Source organism: Homo sapiens, chromosome 3 (genome assembly GCF_000001405.40).
Source record: "Homo sapiens chromosome 3, GRCh38.p14 Primary Assembly".
NCBI lineage: Eukaryota > Metazoa > Chordata > Mammalia > Primates > Hominidae > Homo > Homo sapiens.
Window position 1 is genome coordinate 191,607,961 of NC_000003.12, and position 25,932 is coordinate 191,633,892.

At 36.6% G+C, this 25,932-nt stretch overlaps 1 annotated feature.

The window, feature by feature from the left end:
- Positions 8,386 to 8,586: a silencer, noted in NCBI's record as "peak4974 fragment used in MPRA reporter construct". NCBI's record gives its function as "represses an SCP1 promoter by STARR-seq MPRAs in K562 erythroleukemia cells {active_cell/tissue: K562}" and the evidence as "EXISTENCE:reporter gene assay evidence [ECO:0000049][PMID:32103011]".

The window sequence follows — 25,932 nt, forward strand, 5'->3', positions numbered from 1 at the left end:
ATTTGGTAATTTACTCTTTACAAAAATGTCTTTTTTGAATAAAAAGCATTAAAATGTGATTTGTCCTACCTAATTTTAAAATATATTTAAAAGATCAAATAATTTAAAAGGTGTGATGTTAGTTTGAGAAAGTTCTGATGACTCAATGCAGCAAAATTTCAACGCAGAAATTGAATTCGGTTACTTTAGAATTCGAAAACCTAAGAATGATACAAGGGACTTAGGGGGCTCCCATGGAAAGGATGGGAGGGGTACAGATTTTCTATTTGGTTTTCTGTTCCTGCATTACTTTGCTTAGGATAATGACCTCCAGTACCATCAGTGTTGTTGCTAAGAACAATGGTGTTTCATAGATTTTCTTCCTGGATTCCTATAGTTTGTGATCTTATAGTCTTGTTATGTATTTCTAAGAATTTATCCATTTCTTCTATGTTGTCCAACCTGTTGGCTTATAATTTTTGATAGTAATCTCTTATAAACCTTTGTGTTTCTGTGATATCAATTGTAGTGTCTATTCTTTCTATTACAATTTCATTAAATCTTCTCTTTTTTTCTTAGTCTAGCTAAAGTTTTGTTAAATTTGTTTATCTTTTCAAAAAACCAACTTTTGGTTTCATTTCAAATATAGTATTTTAATGAATGTTATGTACCCATTAAAAGGCAATCCTTCGGTGTTTCTATATTTCGTGTAACAATGCTCAGTAAATATTGTGTCTTTAAAAAACGTACCTAGATTCCTGCATTATCTTACTAACTTGTTCAGCCCACTTACCTCAGCTCTCTTCCTTCTGTAATGTGCAGTGCACACTGCATCAGGTAACATCTAAAATGCATGAGATATGATGACATTAACATGACAGATCATGCTGAAATTCTCTAGTCTTTCCATTGTCTACGAGTTAAAACTCTGACTCTTTAACATGGACTAAAAGCTCTACATGATCCGGCTTTCTCTTACCACCTAGCTTCATCTTTTCCCATTTAACTCCTGTCCCTCCAATTTTGTGCACTGTGCAGTTTCACATCCAGGTCATGCTTTGTGGTGACCCTGGACCTTTGTACAGGCCAATCCCTTTGCCTGAAACATTTCCCACCTTTTCTATCTATTCCTAATTACAGTCGGCATAGAATGGAATATAATCCAAATTCCTCATCTTGCCTAAAGGCCTTGCAAGACCTAGCCTCCACCCCTAGTTCCAGCCAATAAGCCCTCTTCTCACTCCTGTGGACACCAAGTCCTTTACCATCCCCCGTTTTCCATGCATGCCATTCTTCCCACTTACAAGTTTGGTGTCTTTGCTCTGCTCTTCATCTACTTTACTCTTATATGCTTCTGGTCTCATTTCACATACACTTTCCTCAGGGAAAATTTTCTCAAATTTATCTTTACATTGGAGTAGAAACTCTGTTATACATTATCTAAGCTCCTTGTAGTTTTTCTTCATAGTTTTTTTTAAATCACATTTTCTAATCATATGTCTTTATCTGATTTTAAAAATTAATGTCTATTATCTACAAAAGACTTTATAATCAGTGGAAGCATAGCACTTTTCCTTGACAAGAAATCAAATCTTTCATCTAGACCTCCTGGCAGATAGCAAAACAGGTAACTTAGCAGTCATTTGATAAACACTTTTAACATTTTTAAATTTTTGCCAATTTTGATTTATGCAATTAAATTGGCTGTTTGTAAGAGCTCAGCAGGAGAAACAATATGGTTTTATGCCCACTAGTTATACAGTCAAACTTTATTATATCATAATCATTCCTCAACAGTCAGGAATGAGAATGCCGATTCCTTTTGCAATGATGATGCTAAAGAAAATATGTATTTACAATAGGACATGAAATGTGTCAAATACAGAATATCCAACATTAGTGGTAAAGCCAGTGAGTTTATCTGGCTTTCTTTTCTTTCTTTTTTTTAACTTTTATTCCAGTTTCAGTATTACATGTGCAGGTTTGTAATATAGTTAAAATACATGTCATGGGGGTTTGGTGCCATGATTATTTCATTACCCAGGTAATAAACATAGTACCTGATACAGTTTTTTGATCCTCACCCTCCTCCCACCCTCCACTCTCAAGTAGGTCCCAGTGTCTACTGTTCCCTTCTTTTTGTCCATGTGCACTCAAAATTTAGCTCCCACTTATAAGAGAGAGCAAGAAGCATTTGATTTTCTTTTCCTGTGTTAGTTTGCTTAGGATAATGACACCCAGGTCCATCCATGTTGCTGCAAAGGACAATGGTGTTTCCTAGTTTTCTTCTAAGATTGTTATAGTTTGTGACCTTACATGTAAATCTTCAATCCATCTTGATTTGGTTTTTCTATATGGTGAAATGTAATAGTACAGTTTAATTCTTCTGCACACAGCTAGTCAGCTATCCCAGCACCATTTATTGAATAGGGAATCCTTTCTGCACTACTTATTTTTGTCAACTTTGTTGAAGACCAGATGGCTGTAGGTGTGTTACTTTATTTCTCAGCTCTCAAACCTGTTCCATTGGTCTATGTAACTGTGTTTGTGCCAGTACTATGCTGTTTTAGTTACTGTAGCATTGTAGTATATTTTGAAGTTGGTTAATGTGATGCCCCCAGCTTTCTTCTTTTTGCTTAGGATTGCTTTGGCTAATTGGGCTCTTTTTTGGTTCCACATGAATTTTAGAACAGTTTTTTTTTCTAGTTCTGTGAAAAATGACAGTAGTTTGATAGGAATAGCATTGAACTTGTAGATTGAGCAGTATGACCATTTTAACAATATTCATTCTTCCAATCAATGAGCTTAGAATGTTTTCCCATTTGTTTGTGTCATCTATGACTTCTTTCAACAATGTTCTGTAGTTTTCCTTGAAGAGAACTTTCACCTCCTTGATTCGATGTATTTATAGGCATTTTATTTTTTGTATGTGGCTATTTTAAATGGGATTGTGTTCTTGATTTGGCTCTCAGATGGAATCTTATTGTTCTATCTCACTTTAAAGAGATAGAACTGAATTTTGGGAGTACTGTTTGCCCTTAGTTAGATAAGTCATTAATAATAAATATAAAATACTAAGACAGTTGATTTAATTTTTGACTTAATTTTTATGTGTCTCTGGGAATTATTTTCTGGATTTCAGAATTTATAATCCCAACTCAGAATGAATGATTTTGAGATAGTTACATTCATGTAATAATATCATGAGGCCAATGAATTAAGTGTCTGGCTTGAGGAAAGAGCATTTAAGTACTGTCACGTCAGTGTCTCATGGAAAGTCCTAGAATGGAAAGGGGTGAAGTTCTCTTTTACCTTTTTAGAATAAAAGTGAATTATTTTTAAGGAAGTGTTACACTTTAGAAGCTGCAAACAATTATTCACACCTTAAGCAAATAAAGGAGGAAGCTTAATTGAGGAATGAAGGAAAATGCAAGAGAATATTAGGAACATGGGTAAGGAGGTAGGAGAAGCTCCCTCAGAGGTAGAGATTAGCTGAAAAAATGTGAGTCTGAGAGTTCACATTTCCTGGTTTGCCTGTGTTTCATTCAATATTGGAACAAGCCATTTTATTTTTCAAATAGACTTTGTAGCTGGTCTATATGCACATCTTTTTGCTCTAAAATTACATTTTCCATTACCAAGAAGCAGACTGTCACCCTAGTAACACAAGTATCGTATCTCACATGCAAACACCTGCATTCTTTGAAGAGAACATCACACATTCATTGCAGATAATAAAGTGATCAGAAAAGGTGATGTTTTCAAGTGTTTTTTAAAGGAAGGTATGAACTTGAAAAAAATGCCCAAAGGATATATCTATTATAAAAGGTAAGGAAAATTTCACCTTTATAAGTTATAATTGGAGGCTAATTATTACATGTTTACCTTCTAAGTACTTATTACATATATTGTTACTAAAAGCCTATGCTTATGTATATTCATATTTCTGACTTCTTACATAAACATTAGCGTATTATACAAATTTTCTCCACCTTTGTTTATTCACTTTCAATATATCCTAGAGATCACAGCATAGAAGTATGTAGTTATTCCTTACTTATTTTTAAAACTGAAGGCCCGGTGTGGTGGCTAACGCCTGTAATCTCAGCACTTTGGGAGGCCAAGGCGGGCGGATCACGAGGTCAAGAGATTGAGACCCATCCTGGCCAACATGGTGAAACCCCATGTCTACTAAAAATACAAAAATTAGCCAGGCATGGTGGCGGGTGCCTGTAATCCCAGCTACCCGGGACGCTGAGGCAGGAGGAGAATCGCTTGAACCCAGGAGGAAGAGGTTGCAGTGAGCCGAGGCAACACCATTGCACTCCAGCCTGGGCGACAGAGCAAGACTCCGTCTCAAAAAAAAAAAAAAAAAAAAAAAAAAAAAAAAAACTGGAATTTTTAAGGGCTCTTCAGACTCTGACATTTATGTTTTCTGTAGAGTCATGGAAAGAAATTATATCTATCTATTATTCGTGCTGTATTTGTCTTTTTTCTTTAAGCTTGTTTTCAAAGTATACTGCTTTGTTCAGCAGTTTCTTACAGATAATCTATTTTTTAAAAAATTACAAAGTGGGAGGTCTGTCTCCAAAATGTCTACATTCTCTTTCTTTTGTCATAAGGAAATTGCCCTCTTCTCCAATCAACAATTACAGTGAACCTACTATGTCTTCTCACTTGGTTAAGTACTAGGTATTCAATAGTGACCATTATATTTGTTGCACTCCAGGTGGTTAAAATGTAGCTTACAACAACAGACAAGCTACAGAGATGATCAATGATGTTAGAATTTCTATTAAAGAAGTCTCTAGCATTTGAGGATGATAGTAGCATATAAAATAAATAGAAATGAATCAACTTTATTCATAATGTAAAGATTCAAATGAATAGATTTTTTAGATAATAAAACCTGCATCAGATATAAAAATGGAATTTTTAACTATCAAGCTATACTAAATGAACTGATATATCCAAACCCATCACAGTCAGAGAACTGTTTCTTCCACAGAAGTCAGGGAAGATGTCTCCCCATGAGCGTACCTGCTCAGAGTAGGGTTATGTGCATGAAAGGTGATCTGAGACATAGATAGAACAAAGTTGTGCCATGCATAAGCCGTGACTCTTTATTCAATTCATTAATCAGATAAGTCACATGTTTCCCTTGGAGAGATGCACATGAGAGAATAAGTGAGATAAGATGCCCTATATTATGAAGAACTGCAGAGTGGTATTGAACGAGGAATGAAGGAATGAAAGAACATGATGTATTTATGAAAATGAAAATGATTCCACAGGGCTGTAGCTGCAGTTACTGGAACTCCAGTGTTATATTAAATCACACAGTGCTGCACATTATTGCTACTACCGATTTATGATCTCTACTATACCAAGTTCCCAAAGATGACAGAAATTATTCTCTGAATCCTTAGGTCTCTCCCTCCATCTTCCACATTTGTTCTTTTAACACGTATCCATTTTGCCAAGAACATATTTTATCATTTTTAACGTTTTTCTGAGAAAAAAAAAGTCTGCCTTTTATTCACATAGAAAATATGACATAAGACAAAAATTTACTTAACTGCTCCTCCCACCAACATTTGACTTTCTGGTATTCTACCATTTGTATTCTTATTTCTCTCTATTTTAGAAGAGTTGGCCTTTTACGTGATTAAGAGTTATGCTATCACCTTTACTACAGATCCCATCTCTTCCCATTACTTTGTAAACATTACATTTTTTTCTTGATCTTTAACTCATCTCACTTTACCAAATTCTTACCATCACTTAAAAAAGTGTTTTCACTATTTTATTTAAAATTGTGGATACATGTTATGTAAAAATGTATCCAGTTCCATCTCAAATACAGAGATGTACACATTAAAAAATATTTTTCACCTTGACACAAACAAAAGGAAATCTCCTGCTAACTTTTGAATTTGTTTGCTTTTGCTTCTCTAATTCTTTTAATTGTGATGTTAGGGTGTCGATTTTAGATCTTTCCTGCTTTCTCCTGTGGGAATTTAGTGCTGTAAATTTCCATCTAAACACTGCTTTAGCTGTGTCCCAGAGATTCTGGTATGTTGTGTCTTTGTTCTCATTGGTTTCAAAGAACTTATTTACTTCTGCTTTCATTTCGTTATTTACCCAGTAGTCATTCAGGAGCAAGTTGTTCAGTTTCCATGTAGTTGTGCTGTTGTGAGTGAGTTTCTCAATCCTGAGTTCTAGTTTGATTGCACTGTAGTCTGGGAGACTGTTTGTTATGATTTCTGTTCTTTTGCATTTGCTGAGGAGTGTTTTACTTCCAATTATGTGGTCAATTTTAGAATAAGTGCAATGTGATGCTGAGAAGAATGTATATTCTGTTGATTTATGGTGTAGAGCTCTGTGGATGTCTATTAGGTCTGCTAGGTCCAGAGCTGAGTTCAAGTCTTGAATATCCTTGTTAATTTTCTGTCTCATTAATCTGTCTAATATTGACAGTGGGGTGTTAAAGTCTCCCACTATTATTGTGTGGGAGTCTAAGTCTCTTTATAGGTCTCTAAGGACTTGCTTTATGAATCTGGTGCTCCTGTATTGGATGCATATGTATTTAGGATAGTTAGCTCTTCTTGTTATGTTGATCCCTTCATCCTAAGCAAAAAAAACAAAGCTGGAGGCAGCACACTACCTGACTTCAAACTATAAAACAAGGCTAGAGTAACCAAAAGAGCATAACCAAAAGAACATGATACTGATACCAAAACAGATATATAGACCAATGGAACAGAACAAAGGCCTCAGAAATAACACCACACATCAACAACCATTTGATCTTTAAAAAACCTGACAAAAACAAGCAATGGAGAGATAATTCCCTATTTAATAAATGGTGTTGGGAAAACTGGCTAGCCATATGCAGAAAACTGAAACTGGACCCCTTCGTTACACCTTATACAAAAATTAACTCAAGATGGATTAAAGACTTAAACGTAAGACCTAAAACCATAAAAACCCTAGAAGAAAACCTAGGCAATACATTCAGGACATAGGCATGGGCAAAGACTTCATGACTAAACCACCAAGAGCAATGACAACAAAAGCCAAAATAAATGGGATCTAATTAAACTAAAGAGCTTCTGCACAGCAAAGGAAACTATCATCAGAGTGAACACGCAACCTAGAGAATGGGAGAAAATTTTTGCAATCTACCCATCTGACAAAGGGCTAATATCCAGAATCTACAAGGAACTTAAACAAATTTACAAGAAAAAAACAAACAATCCCATCAAAAAGTGGGCAAATGATATGAACAGACACTTCTGAAAAGAAGACATTTATGTGGCCAACAAACATATGAACAAAAGCTCATCATCACTGGTCGTTAGAGAAATGCAAATCAAAACCACAATGAGATACCATCTCATGCCAGTTAGAATGGTGATCATTAAAAAGTCAGGAAACAACAGATGCTGTAGAGGATGTGGAGAAATAAGAATGCTTTTACACTGTTGGTTAGTGTAAGTTAGTTCAACCATTGTGGAAGACAGTGTGGCAATTCCTCAAGGATCTAGAACCAGAAATACCATTTGACCCAGCAAGCCCATTACTGGGTATACACCCAAAGGATTATAAATCATTCTACTGTAAAGACACATGCACACTTAATGTTTATTGCAGCACTATTCACAATAGCAAAGACTTGGAACCAACCCAAATGCCCATCAAGGATAGACTGGATAAAGAAAATGTGGCACATATGCACCATGGAATACTATGCAGCCATAAAAAAGGATGAGTTCTTGTCCTTTTCAGGGACATGAAGCTGGACACCATAATTCTCAGCAAACTAACACAGGAACAGAAGCGCAAACACTGCATCTTCTCACTCAAAAGTGGAAGTTGAACAGTGAAAACACATGGGCACAGGGAGGGAACATCACACACTGGGGCCTGTTGGGTGTTGGGGGTCCTAGGGGAGAGATAGCATTAGGAGAAATACCTGATGAAGACGATGGGTTGCTGTGTGTAGCAAAACACTGTGGCATGTGTATACCTATGTAACAAACCTGCATGTTCTGCACATGTATCCCAGAACTTAAAGTATAATAACAATAAAAAGAAAATGTCCAAATGCACAGGTATAAGATTAGCAAGTAGAAATGCTAATTTCTATGGGAAAGAGCCCATAAGGAATCGAGATTAAATATAGACCCAGCTACCTGGGTATGAGGATTTTAAGTTCTATTACCAGGGATAGAAGCTTTTCTGAAATGATGGAATGAAGACCTTAGGAAATCTGCTTCTCCATAAAAGCAATGAAAGCACTAACAAAATAAACTTCTTCGGAACTCTGAAAATTAACCAAAGACTTGAAACAATCCAAAGAGTGTTATTTAGAAAAACAGCTGGATCTCGGTAATAACATCGAGCTTTGTGACATTTTAACTTGCCCTAATTCCATATCCTCTCCCCAGCTCCATAGCAGCCTTGAAAATAAACAGCATGGCTGTGAATCCAGCAGCCAAGCAGCCACTGGAGGTGGAAGAACAGATTTGAAGCTTCCCAAAAGCCTCGCCCACAGAGAAGGAAATGTCGCTATTTGACCTCTCAGGCAGCTCACTGAAAAGCTTCATTCTAGAGCTTTTCCTTATTTGACCTGGTTCAGAACTCACTCTGAGTGAGCAGCCCTATTTCCAGCCAATTTTTCAGAAACAATCAGTAGCAAGATTTTAACATTGCAGCAGCCTGAGGTGGTGCTGCTAGCTCGGGCTAACAAGGGGCTGACTGAAAACATTGAAAGAAAAAACTGAGGAAAGAGATGTCCTTGCGGTCCTTTCAAAATCTATGCCATGTTCTTTAGACTCTAGAAGGCCACATTAATGAGCAGAGTTGTTCATCTGTTCAGGAAAGGCCTGAAAAGGCACTAACCTCTCATCTCATAAGGAAATGCAGTGGACCCAGAATAGTCAAAACAATCTTGAATATTGAAGAATAAAAGTAGATATTTATGCTTTCTGGTTTCAAAACTTACTACAAAGCTACAGTAGTTGACACTATGTGGTACTGACATAAAGACAAATATATGGACCAATGGAATATAATTTAAAGTTCAGAAACAAAGTTCAGAAATATTGAGCCATACATTCATGCAGAATCACTTTTTTTACAAGGGTGCCAAGACAGTTCAATAGGGAGAGAAAACAGTCTTTTCAACAAATAGTGTGCTGGGACGACAGGACATCTATTTGTGAAAGAATGAAGTTAGACCCTTATCTCACACAATATACAAAAATGAACTTAAAATGGATCATATACCTAGATGTAAAAGCTAAAATTCTTTGAAGAAAACATAGGAGTAAATTTTTGTGACCCTGTATTAGGTAATGACTTCTTAGAAATGACTCCAAAGTGCAAATGAGTTTTTTTAAAACAAGATAAATTGAGCTACACCAAATTGTAAACATTTATGCTTCAGACGATACCATCAAAAAAAGGAAAAGACAGTCCACAGAAAAGGCAAAGATATTTGTAAATCCTATATCAAATAAGGAACTTGTATCCAGAATATATAAAGAATGATTACAACTCAACAATAAAAACACAAATCATTTATTTCCCACTAGGAGAGATAACACATGCATTAAAGAAGTAGGTACTAAATTATCACATAAAATAAATAAAGCTTGGAATCAGGGAAAGAGAGAATGGAGGAAAGCAAAATATTTGAGAAGGGGGAGAGAGGAAAAGAGAGACAGAGAAAGTGGGGGGTAACCTTGGATGGAAAAAGAATCATCATCACCAGTGGCACACAACCTCTAACATATGTGAGAGTGAAGTCTAAATGTGTGGTATGCACATAGTTACAGAAATCTCAAGCTGAGAATTGAGCATAACTATTGCATGAATGAAATAAATAAGGTCCCAGCAGACGTACACAGGAAACTTCAAAATAAGTATGTTACTCAAATTTCAAGCTTCCACATCTCAAAGTATGTGAAATTCCTCTTTAAAATAACACAATTACAAATCAAATTGTCGTGAAAAAAAAAAAATCTTCCTTTTGGCATTCTCCTCCCAGTCTCTGGCTCAGGAAAACTCCTTTCTCTGTTTCCTCTGGCTAGGAAGTTGTCAGGTTTCTATCTGAGTTTTAGCCTCCAGTGCCCCTACACAGTTCTGGGAAGGGTCCTCAAATTCAGGGCAAAGCCATGAGATGAGGCTTTGCCCTGAATTTGGAAATTCAGGGCATCGTGAGGCCGGGCGCAGTGGATCATGCCTGTAATCCCAGCACTTTGGGAGGCTGAGGTGGGTGGATCACCTGAGGTCAGGAGTTTGAGACCAGCCTGGCCGACATGGTGAAACCCCGTCCCTATTAAAAATTCAAAAATTAGCTGGACGTGGTAGCGGGCGCCTATAATCCCAGCTACTCAGGAGGCTGAGGCAGGAGAATCGCTTAAACCCGGGAGGCGGAGGTTGCAGTGAGCCGAGATGGCGCCATTACACCCCAGCCTGGGTGACAGTGAGATTCCACTTAAAAACAAACAAACAAAAACATCGTGAAACAAAACAGGAAATCCTCCTCATCAAGTCATTTCTTCAAATTTTGTTATTCGACAGTACACCTGTTTTTGTTTATTTTTGCATATCCTCAATTGGTCAATTTTGTAATTTTTTCCAGATGTGTTAGCTGTGTTTTTAAGGAGCTTACTCTGCCACAGTGGATCTAGAACTTCCAAGAATGGTCATTGGCGCCGGGCGCAGTGGCTCACGCCTGTAATCCCAGCACTTTGGGAGACCGAGGTGGGCGGATCACGAGGTCAGGAGATCGAGACCATCCTGGCTAACACAGTGAAACCCCGTCTCTACTAAAAATACAAAAAATTGGCCGGGTGTGGTGGCGGGCGCCTGTAGTCCCAGATACTCGGGAAACTGAGGCAGGAGAATGGCGTGAACCCGGGAGGCGGAGCTTGCAGTGAGCTGAGATCGCGCCACTGCACTCCAGCCCGGGCGGCAGAGCAAGACTCCGTCTCAGAAAAAAAAAAAAAAAAAAAAAAGAATAGTCATTTGCATTCCATGATTTAGATTATTTTGTGTGTAGAAGTGACTAGAAAAAAATTTTAGAAAATTCAAAAATTTTTCTCAGTGTAGCCAGGATTATCATAGAATAATGAAAGTACAGTCATAGAATGATCACAGGAAACCAAAGGATGAGGAAATACTACAACCCATAGAGTGGATGTGATTAGTAGAAGGGGGAAAGATTAAAGTTATTTTCTGATTGTTCCAAATTTGTTCCAATTATAGGATAAAAATTCAAATATGAAAAGAAAGTTAACAAACAGGTAGAATAGATTGTGATGTATGTGTGTGTGTGTATATATATATATATATATATATATATATATATATATATATATAAAACCTCTAATAAATTACAAACAAGAACATATCCAATAATTTATCCACAAAAATATCACCAAATTTTGACGAGTATAAATGAGAGTTCATAATGAAAGTCATAATTTAGAGATTTGTTCAGTAACAATGAAAAGCATGAGGCTCTGTAGTGACTCACATGCCCGTAAAGGTCTTGTGTATCACTTTTTAAAAACATTTATAGCTACATTTTTATTTTTATTTATTTTTTGTCATTTTTATTTATTTTTTTATTTATTTTTATTTTTATTATTATTTTTTGAGACGAAGTCTTGCTCCGTCTCAATTGCTCCCGGCTGGAGTGCAATGGCACGATCTTGGCTCACTGCCATCTCTACCTCCCAGGTTCAAGCGATTCTCCTGCCTCAGCCTCCCAAGTAGCTGGGATTACAGGAGCCCGCCACCACGCTCGGCTAGTTTTTGTATTTTTAGTAGAGACAGGGTTTCACCTTATTGGCCAGGCTGGTCTCGATCTCCTGACCTCAAGTGATCCCCCTGGCTCGGCTTCCCAAAGTGCTGGGATTACAGGCGTGAGCCACCGCGCCCGGCCAGCTACATTTTTAAAATGTCCACTAAGTGAAAACGTAATAGATTGTGGTAGTAATATAATAAAAAGCAAAATTTCAAATAAATACGCTGCCTTTATACCTATTAAATAGTAACATTCTATAAACAATAAAATATGTATTTCATGAAAATTTGTACATAAATTATAGAAATTAATAAACCAATATTGCGTGTTGTTTTGGAGAACATATATTCAACCTTAGTATTAGAAAAACATGAAGAGAATATATACGCCCTTCAATATTGATTGTTCAGATGTATCTAAGTCCTGAGTGTATGCCAATCAAAAGACAGATGTGAAGGTTAACGTCACATTAAATACAAAGGGGAGAAAGAATAAAACACCTACTCAGTTCAAACATAACCCCCAAATTGAAAGTCAAAAGAGCTGGGGATTGAATTGTTGGCAATGATTTGCAATTAAGCAGCTGCTCACATCGGCAGATCTATGTAATTGACTGAAGGGTAAGTAACAGCAGCATTTTATTTAATGCTGTTTAATCACTCTCCTGAGTAATTCTGACTAGTCCAGCTAATGCTAACAGAAAATAAGAGTGTTATTAAGCATGCAGATGGGGAGAAAAGTTTATTATTCACATATATATAGTAAAACAAAATTTAAAAAATACAGAAGAGTGAAAAGCTAAAAACAAAAACCAAAGGACACAATTTAGTGTTGTGGTTACATTTCTGGGTGAGGAAAGAGAATGGGATCAGGAAGGATATACAGGACACATGGCAAATTCAGGGACAATTTGTTTAAAGTATAGGGGTGCCTATTGTATTGTCATTCTTCGTATCTTAGGCATATTGTTTAATTATTATTTTGTACCTTTCTTTTTTTTAATTTACTTTTTTTTTTATTTTTTTGAGATGGAGTCTCGCTCTGTCGCCCAGGCTGGAGTGCAGTGGTGTGATCTGGGCTCACTGCAACCTCCGCTCCTGGGTTCACGCTATTCTCCTGCCTCAGGCTCCCAAGTAACTGGGACTACAGGCGCCCACCACCATGCCTGGCTAATTTTTTTGTATTTTTAGTAGAAACGGGGTTTCACCGTGTTAGCCAGGATGGTCTCAATCTCCTGACCTCGTGATCCGCCGGCCTCGGTCTCCCGAAGTGCTGGGATTACAGGCGTGAGCCACCGTGCCCGGCCTCAAATATTTCTTATTAAAAAAGCTTTTTTAGCCTAATTTAACTACTTCTTCAGGATTAAAAGTTACATGCAATTATTTATTTTAAAAATCTGTCTAGTGTCTCTTTGCATTCAAAAAGTATAAAACCCATAGGAACCAGAACTCGGCTGTTCTAGTTCCTATGGGGTTTATACTTTTTGAGTGCAGAGAGTGCACCTTTCTTTAATAATAAATGATTATAAATAAAATGGGAAGAAGACATTGAGGCATTTCATAGAACAGAAAATAAATGACCAATTAAAAAAGGAAATATACTTAACCTTATTGGTGAATAAGGAAATACAAAGTAAAACCTCAATAAGAAACCATTTCAAATCCATCAAAGTAACAACTGAGAAGCTGGGTGATATCTTCAATTTTGATGATGTAGTATGACAAGAACACTCACTGGTTACTAATGGGAATATATATAGGTACAAACACTTCAGGAAAGAGTTGGGAATTTCTTAGTATATTTTAAATGTGGCAACTTTTGACACAAATATTTAAGTTTTAGGTGTAAAATCCAGATAAACTCTTGTACATGTACACTCAGACACAATGAGATATGGACAACAAGGGTAAATGTAGCACCGTTCAAAACAATTTCATCTTAAGAACACACTAAGCTCCTTATATAGACAGTGCTGTTCTATATAGCTCATTAACTATGTAACAGGGGTTGAAAAGAAAAAAGGAAATCTTAGTAACAATTTTTGCACATAGTAAAATAACTTACATGAATACTAGTGTGTTTTAGTTTACAAACCAAATTTACAACCATTAAACCTATTTTCATTTGCTCATCTTTATCATCTTAGAAAGAGATAAAACAGGGATCATTATCACCATTTTACAGCTCAGAAGACAGATGATTAAGAGAATTTGTCATTTTCTTAAGCTTATATATATAATGGTTACATTAACCTAGTAGAATGACATAGTATGTGTAATCAATTTTCTATTGTTGTGATTAATCTAGATTGGTCTTAATGAATTAACTTTTCAGTACATTGTTGGGTTCAGTCTGCTCATTTTTATAAAGGATTTTGCTTCCCTGCTCATGAATAAGACTGGATAAATGCATGCAGTTTTTCTCTAGTTATGTTTATGCTATTGATTTCTGTCTTAATTGCATTGTGGTAAAAAAAAAAAAGATTATCTGAAATCCACCAACTTCTTGGAATTTGCTAGCTAACACCAAATTTGACCAATCTTTATTATATTTAATATAGGCATGAAAATAATGCATAATTTCTAATTTTAGTGTAATATTCTAGATATGTGAATTATGCAAAATTTAATTTCTTTAATTGTACTCTTCCAATCTGTTGCTTTACTGAATTACTCTCTGTTTAAGGTATAAATTATTGAAATAACTAATGTTAAAATACTGTAATGTTGGGTTTTAAAATTTCTCAGTATAACCTCTAAATTACTGTTATATTTACAGTCTGTGTTATTAGGTGAGCATAAATTTAGAATTATTATATTTTCCTGATTTATTGAAACTTTTATCATTTCAAATGATTTACTTCATCTCTAGTAATTGTTTTTACAGTCTATTTTGGTAGACATTATTAAGGCTACTCCAGCATGCTTTTGAGTAGCATTGGCATAATATATATTTTTCTATGTTTAAATTTTCATTGTTTTAAAAAAGGTGGTCAGTTGTGTGACTAAGAGTGTAAATATCTTCTTTTGAGAAGTGTCTCTTCATACCCTTTGCCCACTCTTTGATGGGGTTGTTTGTTTATTTCCTGTAAATTTGTTTAAGTTCCTTGTGGATTCTGGATATTAGCCCTTTGTCAGGTGGATAGATTACAAAAATGTTCTCCCATTCTGTAGGTTGCCTATTCACTCGAAAGATAGTTTCTTTTGCTGTGCAGAAGCTCTTTAGTTTAATTAGAGCTCATTTGTCAATTTTGGGTTTTGTTGCCATTGCTTTTGTTATTTTAGTCATGAAGTCCTTGCCCATGCCTATGTCCTGAACGGTATTGCCTAGGTTTTCTTCTAGGGTTTTTATGGTTTTAGGTCTTACATTTAAGTCTTTAATCCATCTTGAGTTAATTTTTGTATAAGGTGTAAGGAAGGGGTCCAGTTTCAGTTTTCTGCATGCAGCCAACAAACATATGAAAAAAAAACCTCATTATCACTGGTCATTAGAGAAATGCAGATCAAAACCACAATGAGATACCATTTCACTCCAGTTAGAATGGCGATCATTACAAAGTCAGGAAACAACACATGCTGGAGAGGATGTGGAGAAATAGGAATGCTTTTACACTGTTGGTAGGAGTGTAAATTAGTTAAACCATTGTGGAAGACAGTATGGCGATTCCTCAAGGATCTGGAACCAGAAATACCATTTGACCCAGCAATCTTATTACTGGGTATACACCCAAAGGATTATAAATCATTCTACTATAAAGACACATGCACACGTATGTTTATTGTGGCATTATTCACAATAGCAAAGACTTGGAACCAACCCAAATGCCCATCAATGATAGACTGGATAAAGAAAATGTGGCATATATACACCATGGAATACTATGCAGCCATAAAAAAAGATGAATTTGTGTCCTTTGCAAGGACATGGATGAAGCTGGAAACCATAATTCTCAGCAAACTAACACAGGAACAGAAGAGCAAACACTGCATTTTCTCACTTATAAGTGGGAGTTGAACAATGAGAACACATGGACACATGGAGGGGAACATCACACACCGGGGCCTGTCAGGGGGTTTTGGGATAGAGGAAGGATAGCATTAGGAGAAATACCTAATGTAGATGATGGGTTGATGGGTGTGGCAAAGCACCATGGCACGTGTATACCTATGTAACAAGCCTGCATGTTCTGCACATGTATCCCAGAACTTAAAGTATATAAAAATAAATAAATGAACATAATATGCATCTTAAAAAAGACTGTAAATAATTGAGAACACAGGCTGAGACATATTAAGTGCTCAATAAGTGTAAAGATGTAGCATACATAGAAGTTAAGCTCAGGATCTAGAATTATGGGCCCTGGCTTTCAAATGTTGCTTTGAAACTATGATCCAGGTGATCTTGGACAAGTTAAACAAGTTTTCAGTTCTTGTTTTTCTCATTGGTAAAACAGGATAATAACACCTTTACACCATAGAGGTGCTGTGTGGAATGAATTATACAAATAAGTGTTAAGAAGAGTGTATAGTTTTAAACTTGTTTTTAAAATATTGTCTATTTTTGGAATTGCTTTTATTACTTCAATGTTATAATCTTGGTATAATAATTGGAGATTTTGGTCCTATTTCAATTATCTGTGATGTGAAACAAATCATGCTGAAATCTAATGAGTTAACATTTTATCATCTTTTATGATTCCCTAGGTTTACTGGGCTCAGCTAGGCAGCTCTTCTGCTCCACATGGCATTGATTTTACACGATCACTTGGGGACACCACTGGGCTGTAATATCCAAAATGGCTTTGTAACATGATTGTCAGGCAGGAGTTTTTTGAGCCTCTCAACCACTGTGCCTATATGGGGCCTCTCCATGCAGTTGCTGGGCTATGCCTGGGAGCATTCCAATTGTGAATAGTCCAAGGAGGAGAAGGTGAAAGCTGACAGTCCTCTTAAAGGCTAAGCTTGGAAATTTCCCAGTGTCATTTCCACTGTATTCTATTAATTAAGCAGCCTCAGAGCCAGCCCAGATTTAATAAGAAAGGAAATAAATGCTACCTTTCAAAAGGAGAGTAATAAAGAATTTGCAGCAATAGTTAATCCACCACAAACCGGTTTAAATGTATAATAATTCTCATATATCTGGATTAATTTATACCAAATTTCCACATACTATTCTTACATGTCTTACTTTTAATTCTTTTTCTACCTTCTTTCTTGCTTGAAATGCTTGAATCCTTGTCTATTTTTAGAAATTTCACTTCCTGCTTATTATCTTAAAAATTATTTCAGTCCTTTCCATGTATCTATTAGATTTAGCAAATATAAAGCCAGTCCTTGTAAATATTAAATGCCCAAGGAAACTGCAAGTCCGATTACCCTTTTCCAATTTACATTCTGCCATTACTAAGAATTTTGGTTTTAGCCTGCTTTTCCTCAAAATTAAACAATATAACTATAATTTTATACAACCAATTATATAACCAATTATTGCCATTATGTGTATGTATATATTTTTATGTATGTATAATTTTACTTTGCTGTGTTTAGGTGTGGGTTTCATTTTATATATCTTTCTTGGGGTTCTTGGATCTATCAGTGTTTTTCATCAGTGGAAAATAATCAGCCATTAATTCTTTCAACTTTGCCTCTTTCCCATTCTTTCATTCATCTTTTTTTCTGAAATTCTGATTATATTCATTAGATTCCCTTACTCTAACCTCCATAGCTCTTAATTTATCATGATTTCTATGCAATTTTTTTACTCTCTGGCCGCATGCTGGATCCCATCTCTTTGGATATAACTTTTAGTTAGCTAATTCTGTCTCCCACGTTATGTGAGAAAAAAAAGTCAGTATTTTAGGATCTTTTGAGTTTATTTCAACTGTGTATTATTTGTTTGTTTTTCTGTTTTCACCTATAGTGGCTTGTTTCTTTGTATTATATTTTGTAATTCTTGACTCTTGAGCTGTTTATTTACCTAGGAATTTTTTCTGTGGAAATGATTTGAGTCATAGATTGAAGTTAAGAATTACAGTTGCATTTGCCGGTTGCTTGTGAGGAGAGAGCAATTAAAAACCTAAAACACTTTAAATCATCTTTTAGAGGCTTATGTATCTATGTTAGTACCCAAATTCAGACTGGAATACTGATTGAGCATTGTCTATGATTCTGACTTTTCAAGGAAGATTTCTTTGTTCTAGTAACTGATGAATATGTCTGGCTTTGCTTTACTGAGCTCCATTGCTTAGTTCTCAGTCACCACTATATTTTGCTTATAACTTCTTGGGGTCTTATCTAATGGGCATTTCCTATTACATGATACCCTTTTCTGGCACATAGCTTTATTTCCTGATATCCACACACCGAAAAGTTGCATAAATAAAATCTCAATTCTCCATAGTTACACAGAGGTATTTAAAGTGGAGGCAAACTTTGGCACTTGCTACTTTTCCAGGAATATATATCACATAAAGAAATATACACATATGTTTAATATGTGATTCAGCAATTTAATCATTTTAGATGAGAGAGTTTTTCACATCTCTTTACTGAGATGTAAAGGTACTGAATGGTGGGTCATGTGGTCAATTTAAGGTGTCATGAATCATATTTTAGGAAATAGAATCAAATAGAACAAAATGGAATAGAATAGAAAATATCAGCATGCATTACACATAATAATAGTAGTATTGTTTGGTGAAAAAAATTGTATTTTCTTCTCTCCCTTCCCTTCCCTCTGCCTATTTCTCTCTCCCTCTCTTTTTTTCTCTCTATGGCCTTTTCTCTTTCTCTTTCTTTCGTTTAGATTTAAATGATTTTAAAACTGTTTGTTGTACACAGCAAATGTAAAAACAAATGTAAGACATTTAATATGCCTTTGGACAGCTATTAATAGTATATTACAGGATTATTTTGTAATCTTCTTCCTTACTCGCATGTCTTAGAATATGTGTTTATTTAAGCTCACTCAACCTTATTTGAGAAAATTGGAATTCTCTGAGTTCCTATAAAATAATTATGTTTTTTTCTCATGAAATCATAAATATTGTTATTTGGACCCAAGTGCATTATTTTAGAGACGTAATTTCTTTTTTAAAATAATAAGATCACAATAATCACAGAATGTATTTTCTACTGTTATGGTTGAGAAACTGTCATGAACATTGGCTCTATTACTGAAGCTGTTTTGCAAGAGCCGTAGCAGATTTAGAGGCAAAGCAAATGATGAGCATCATAGGCATAAAGCCCGTGTGAAACACTAATTCCATCATCTCTCCAGCTTTCTGCAAAGGAAATTTCTTTGCAGATTCCATCAGACCATCTCTCCCAGACTTTGCTACTATTCCTGAGTAGAAGCTCCCAAAGACTGTTCTAAGAGGACCCAGGGTTTTCCCCTTCGGAGGGTGTTATATTCTCTGTGACTGCATAGCGCATCTTGTGACAAGAAGATGTGGGATGGCTTTCCCTGGAGTGCGACCTATTCTGGGTAGCCACCCACATCCTCATGAATATTTACGTTCCGGCTCTGGCACTGCTGGCTCATCCGTGTCCCACTCTGGGAAACAATGCATAATGGATCACCACTTCTGCCTCTCTCTCTCTCCCCTCCGCAAACACAGGATGCCTCTCTGATTTATTTATTTCTATAATGCATGCCAGGAAGGGAAAGCACTGCAGACTGCATCGTTCAGCAATTCTCTGGGATTTTACAATCACACTCTATTAGTTTTCCTCACTGAATTCCATGACATTGACCTAGCTGACTTTCTTAATAGGAAAAGCAGGTTTCTAGATGTTATAACTGAATGTAGTGAAAAAAGAAAATTTAAACTATTCAGTTAAAACTTATGATTTCTAGCTATACCAGTAACTATGCCTGGGGGAGGAGGGAGAAATATTGTTCTCCAGTCTATGAATTTATTTTCTCAGCTGTGAAATGGGAATACACCCAAGGTAAGAGATGGGACTCAACTCCAGAGGTGAGGCTCAGACTCTGAACCACATTGAAGACTAGCTGAAACGGGAGAGAGGCGAAAGCACCTTTCCATAAGACACACCCGTCAGTGCCATAGCAGTTTACCATTGACATGGCAACATCTGGAAGTTGCTGCCCCTTTCCCTGGCAACAACCCAGAAGTTACCACCCTTTTTCTAAAAAGTTTTGCATAATCCACCCCTTAATTTGTATGTAATTAAAAGTGGGTATAAATATGAGTGCAGAACCGCCCCTGAGCTACTTTGGGCACACTGCTTATGGGGTAGTCCTACTCCACAAGGAACGATACCTCTGCTGCTGCTGAGCACTGCTACTTCAATAAAAGTTGCTGACTAACACCACTGCTTGCCCTTGAATTCTTTCCTGGGTGAATCCAAGAACTCTCCCAGACTAAGCCCCAGTCTTGGGTCTTACCTGTCCTGCATCAAACCCACTTTGGTTCCCTCATAGGAATATTGTAAGGATTATGGGAAAATATTGTCATATTCTTGTATAAAAATGAGCTAGAAACGCTGACAAGTGTTAAAGAGTTAAGCGGAAAGCCTTAGAGAGCTTTGTAAAGAATAGGTAATTCACATTTTGAGCTTAAGTGTTCTCATCCACAATGTGGGAAAAATAATATTCCTACATAGAAGTTTTTTTAAAGAATTAAATAGGTTAATATGTGTATATTACTTAAAAGAGTATCTGTACATAGTTACCTCTCAGAAACTGCTAGTTCATATGAGAAATATATAAGCATTCAGCATTGTAATTGTTTCTGGACCTCTAATGGGTTATAAAGATATAAGCTTCTGGATGACAAAGATGTTTCTATACAAAGCATAGAACATTTTGACAGTGAGTGGGAACATGAAAGCTCTCAAGCTTAAAATGGAACCGTAAGCCTAAAGGATAAGATGTGACCCACATTTCTTTTCACTCCTCAGTAAACTGTTATTTTGTTCTTTTCTCAGGAAAACCCTCTATGATTAGTGTTTGATGATCTGTCTGTGGATCTGCTGGCAGCCTTGTGACTTGCATTCTCTTTAAGATTTCTTTAACGAGGTAGCTTACTAAGTGCTGTCATATTTCATAATTCCTTCCAGGAAACTGTTCCCTGAGATGTTGCCAGGCAGTGTTGTCCCCTTTTTCTAAACTTCTGAATGTGTTCACTTAATGATATAATCCTTTGATGAACAGGATAGTCACAAACATCAATTTTAATTATGTAGTTTGCATATGGAGAGTGATGCTCCAGGGTAAACTTTGGCTGTGAACCTGTTCACCTAAATCATTTTATTTATTTTTCCTGTATGGCATATAACATTCTGAGATGCACTAGAATCACGGCTTAGGATTTATATATTTCTTCAGCACACTATGTTTTGAGATGTGACTTGGAGGGAGATAGAATGCATCCTGAAGCTCTATTCCAGTCAAATAGTCAATTTTACTTCTGCCTTTTAGCTTCCCTGGACTGTTTTGGATTCAGTTTTACCTTGTGAAAGCTAGCAGCCATACTTAGTTTCCTCTGGTCTTCCAAGGCATAGCAATTGTAGGCTTAATAGAATTATATCAACTCTCTTAAGTCCTTTCACCAGTGGCTGCTACCTTATTGTGGTCTGGAATTCTACTTTCTTTTCTGATGTCCTTCCCTTCTTCAGAAAGGAAGTGATTCCCATCCTCATTTTATCTTTTTATGGTCTTTCTTCCTCTTGGTATTCCTGCAATTTCTACTACAGTATTTGTTGGATTCATTATTAAAACAGCAATAAAATGGAGTAAGCATGATGAAAGTAAAAAAGACAACCAGCCGGGCGCGGTGGCTCATGCCTGTAATCCCAGCATTTTGGGAGGCTGAGGCAGGCGGATCACGAGGTCAGGAGATCGAGACCATCCCGGCTAACATGGTGAAACCCCATCTCTACTAAAAATACAAAAAATTAGCCGGGCGTGTGGCAGGCGCCTGTAGTCCCAGCTACTTGGGAGGCTGAGGCAGGAGAATCGGTTTGAATCCAGGAGGCAGAGGTTGCAGTGAGCCGAGATTGCACCACTGCACTCCAGCCTGGGCGACAGAGCGAGACTATGTCTAAAAAAAAAAAAAAAAAAAAAAAGACAACCAAGGAACAATTGCAAGTTTTCACAATTATAGAATTGGAGACCTGAATGACGCCTCAAGGAGTGGATATGTGTAGAAAAAGCATTGCCATTTACATGATTTCCCCTTTTTACATAAATATCAAGCATTTACAAAATATCAGATCCAGATAAAACCTTACAGGTTACTCAGCTCATCTTCCTTAGTCAATCAAAAATATTTATTGATTTTCTACTGTGTGTTGGGCAGTGTTCTTTGATATTGAGATCCGGTAGTGAACAAGATAGGGAAAGTTCTGGTTCCTGTGGGGTTTATACTTTTTGAGTGCAGAGGGATATTAGATAGATTTTTAAAATAAATAATTGCATGTAATTTTTAATCCTGAAGAAGTAGCTAAATTAGGCTAAAAAAGCTTCTTTAATAAGGGATATTTGAGAACGGGCACGGTGGCTCACGCCTGTAATCCCAGCACTTTGGGAGGCCGAGGAGGGCAGATCACGAGGTCAGGAGATCGAGACCATCCTGGCTAACACGGTGAAACCCTGTCTCTACTAAAAATACAAAAAGTAAGCCGTGCGTGGTGGTGGGCGCTCGTAGTCCCAGCTACTTGGGAGACTGAGGCAGGAGAATGGCGAGAACCCGGGAGGCGGAGCTTGCAGTGAGCTGAGATCGCGCCACTGCACTCCAGCCTGGGCGGCAGAGCGAGACTCCGTCTCAAATAAATAAATAAATAAAATTTTAAAAAGGGATATTTGAATTAAAACCAAAATAAGAAGAAGATGGCAGTGATGTTTTCTACTAGGGAAGAGTGTTCTAAGCAAAAAGAACAAGCGATAAAGCTTTGAGATTAGAGTCGGATTGGGATGTTCAAGAAATGGAAATGATGTTGCTGAGGTTGGAATAACAAATGCACGGCATAGGCAGGTGGATAGCAAGGAGGTGATAGAGGGTCACAGGACATAGGGCCTTGTCGTGCCTGGTAATTGTACATGGTTGTGTTGTTTCCTGAGATGCTAAATGCTTGCTGGAGAGTAGATTCTGGTGGTAAGACTATGGGATAAGATGTAGGAAGGAAGTCAATATTTTTCTTACCAGTTGAGAAAACAACTTTAATAAAGGAGGTGATTTTCCATACAACTCTTTGCATAAATGAAAAAGGGATGGAAATGAGGCAACCTAATTTTCAGTTCTATTCTATTCCCAACACAATCCTCATTATGGTTAACTAAAGCTTTCCCAGTTCTCTCTATTATGCTTTCTGGCCCTTACTGATGCTGTGGCTCTTTCAGAGAGGCTACTTATGTTTAGAAATGCATAAAATAAATGACATTTTTGCCAATCTTCTCTGATCATCTTGAATTTTCAGTAGATTTTAGTGCCTTTCTTTCCACATTACAGGCTATTCACTAAAAATAAGGTAGCAGTATTTTGGCCTACCTACTTAGAAAAGTCTTACCCAGTCCTGGTATGAAACTGTCCCTTTGGGAAGAACACAAGTCTATCAACTGCAGTCTGAATGTTATCCACAGTTGAGTCAAAGTTGTTAGGCTGGTGCAAACCTACTTGCAGTTTTTGGAACTACGTTTGTACCAACCTAATACATGGTGAAATAATTACACATTTGCTTGATTTAAATAGTTCAGTATTTTAAAAGTAATCTCTTTTTTTCTGGCTGGCGCTGCACTGTGTTAAATCAGAGGTCTTATGGTGAAATATATACTACAATGTAGAAAACATAGAGCGCTTCTAAAATGTTCCATTAAAAACAATTAAGAGGCTATTAGCTCTTACACATAAAAATAATGCAACTATTAATCTTCATACTTAAATGCTGACAGTTGAAAAGAAACCACTGAAACCACAGGATAGTTGTCTAAAAGAGGAAGAAAAAAGTGTTTCTTCTGCACTTCATACAATATATGCAGAATAATTTTGTTTTTTGCATACTTTTCCACAAATACTTTAGAATCATAAAAGACTTGAAGTAGAACTTAGAACTTTAACTCGCTTTAGAACTCATTTAACTTAGAATCATGCATTTTAAGATGCCCATTTTACAAATGAGGCAATTAATACCCAGAAATAAGGTACTTCTCAAGGTCCCATAGCAAGCTGGTGGTATGTCAGGATAAGAATCAGCTCTGCTACTGTTCACAAGGCTCATTTTCCCTGATTCCCCTTTTTCCTTAGAAAGTCTTCATTTTTGGCCAGGTGTGGTGGTTTGATCCTGTAATCCCAGCACTTTGGGAGGCCGAGGCAGGCAGATCACGAGGTCAGGAGATCGAGACCCTCCTGGTCAACACAAAGAAATCCTGTCTCTACTAAAAAAATAAAAAATAAAAAAAATTAGCTGGGCATTGTGGCACACACCTGTAGTCCCAGCTACTTGGGAGGCTGAGGCAGGAGAATCACTTGAACTGGGAGGTGGAGGTTATAGTTAGCTGATATTGCGCCATTGCACTCCAGCCTGGGGACAAAACGAGAATCCGTCTCAAAAAAAAAAAAAAAAAAGAAAGTGTTCATTTTCTTCAGAAATTGAATATCAGAATACCATAGTCTATATTTCAGTAAAGGATGAGATACTTAAAAATTATTCATGGAAACAAATCCTATTAAAATACAGATATTAGTTATTTTATAGATAATAAATTTTATCTCATGAGATAACAGAAACATCAGGATTTTTTCATGAAAAATAGTTAGGAGAACTATTTTTCTAGTTCTTTAGAAATTTATTTTAATTAAAGACATAAATTATATGCCCTTGGGGACTTTCTTTGTGCTGTTACTTCTAATGGTCCAGATCTTCACATGGCTGTCACTTTATAATGGCTGTACTGAATCATTAGACATTTCCTCATGATTAAGCTTGAAAAAGGATCTTTTCTTTTTAATAATATTTTCAAAAAAATAAGCCTTGGGCTGAAAGTTAATTGATACATCAACCGTATTAACAGGCACTGTAGCACAGCAGAATGAAAAGAACATTAATGCAGATAAACAGAGTATTATCATTTTACAATTACCCTTGAGCATCATGAATTTGAAAGGATGGTGGTGAATCAAGTTTATTTACAATAGGTAGTTTTTTCCTTTTGTTTTCTCACTCTGTCGCCCAGGCTGGAGTCCCGTGGCGCGATCTCAGCTCACTGCAAGCTCCGCCTCCCGGGTTCACGCCATTCTCCTGCCTCAGCCTCCCAAGTAGCTGGGACTACAGGCACCCACCACCACGCCCGGCTAATTTTTTGTATTTTTGGTGGAGACAGGGTTTCACCATATTAGCCAGGATGGTCTCGATCTCCTGACCTCGTGATCCGCCCGCCTCCCAAAGTGCTGGGATTACTGGCGTAAGCCATCGCTCCGGCCCTTCCTTTTTTTTTTTTTTTTTTTTTTTTTAAATGAAGATGATTTATTTTTATGCAGAGAAAAAAATCTGCTAATAAAACAGCCACTAATAGTTTGTAGTGTTTCCTGCAAGGCAACAGTTCATCATACTTAGACAGTGTTTCATAGATGTGCAAAATGTCTTTATGTGATTACTTTATTTATTCCTTTCAACAATCCTGGAGGATTGTAAAACACAGATTTTTATTTCTATTATATAGGTGGGGAAACAAATTTAGAAAATGATAAAATGATCTGCCATAAAGAAGCGGAGAAGCTGAGACTTTTGGTTGGATCTTATTTCCCTGTTCATTTCACCATATCATAGCACTCCTGACTCTTAGAATCTCCCAGGATTTAAGATTTTAAATCTATGGTTATCAGAATCACAATGTGTTAGATCTCTATTCCCAACTCAAAAATTTTTCTGGACAGTGCTGCAAGGTATAAATGAAATAGTATTAGTTGGGGAGATCTTGGTTCCAGTTCAAATTTAATGGGAGAAAATCACCAAATTTTAGGGTTATGGATCCATTAAATGAGTGACATTCATCAAAAGATTTCTGGTACCTCTACTGCTAAGACAGCTGGGTCAACTTTCACAGACTTTTCGTTTCTAACGGAAGACTAACGGATTCCTAACAAGGTAGAGCGCAACAAGGCAGCGTGG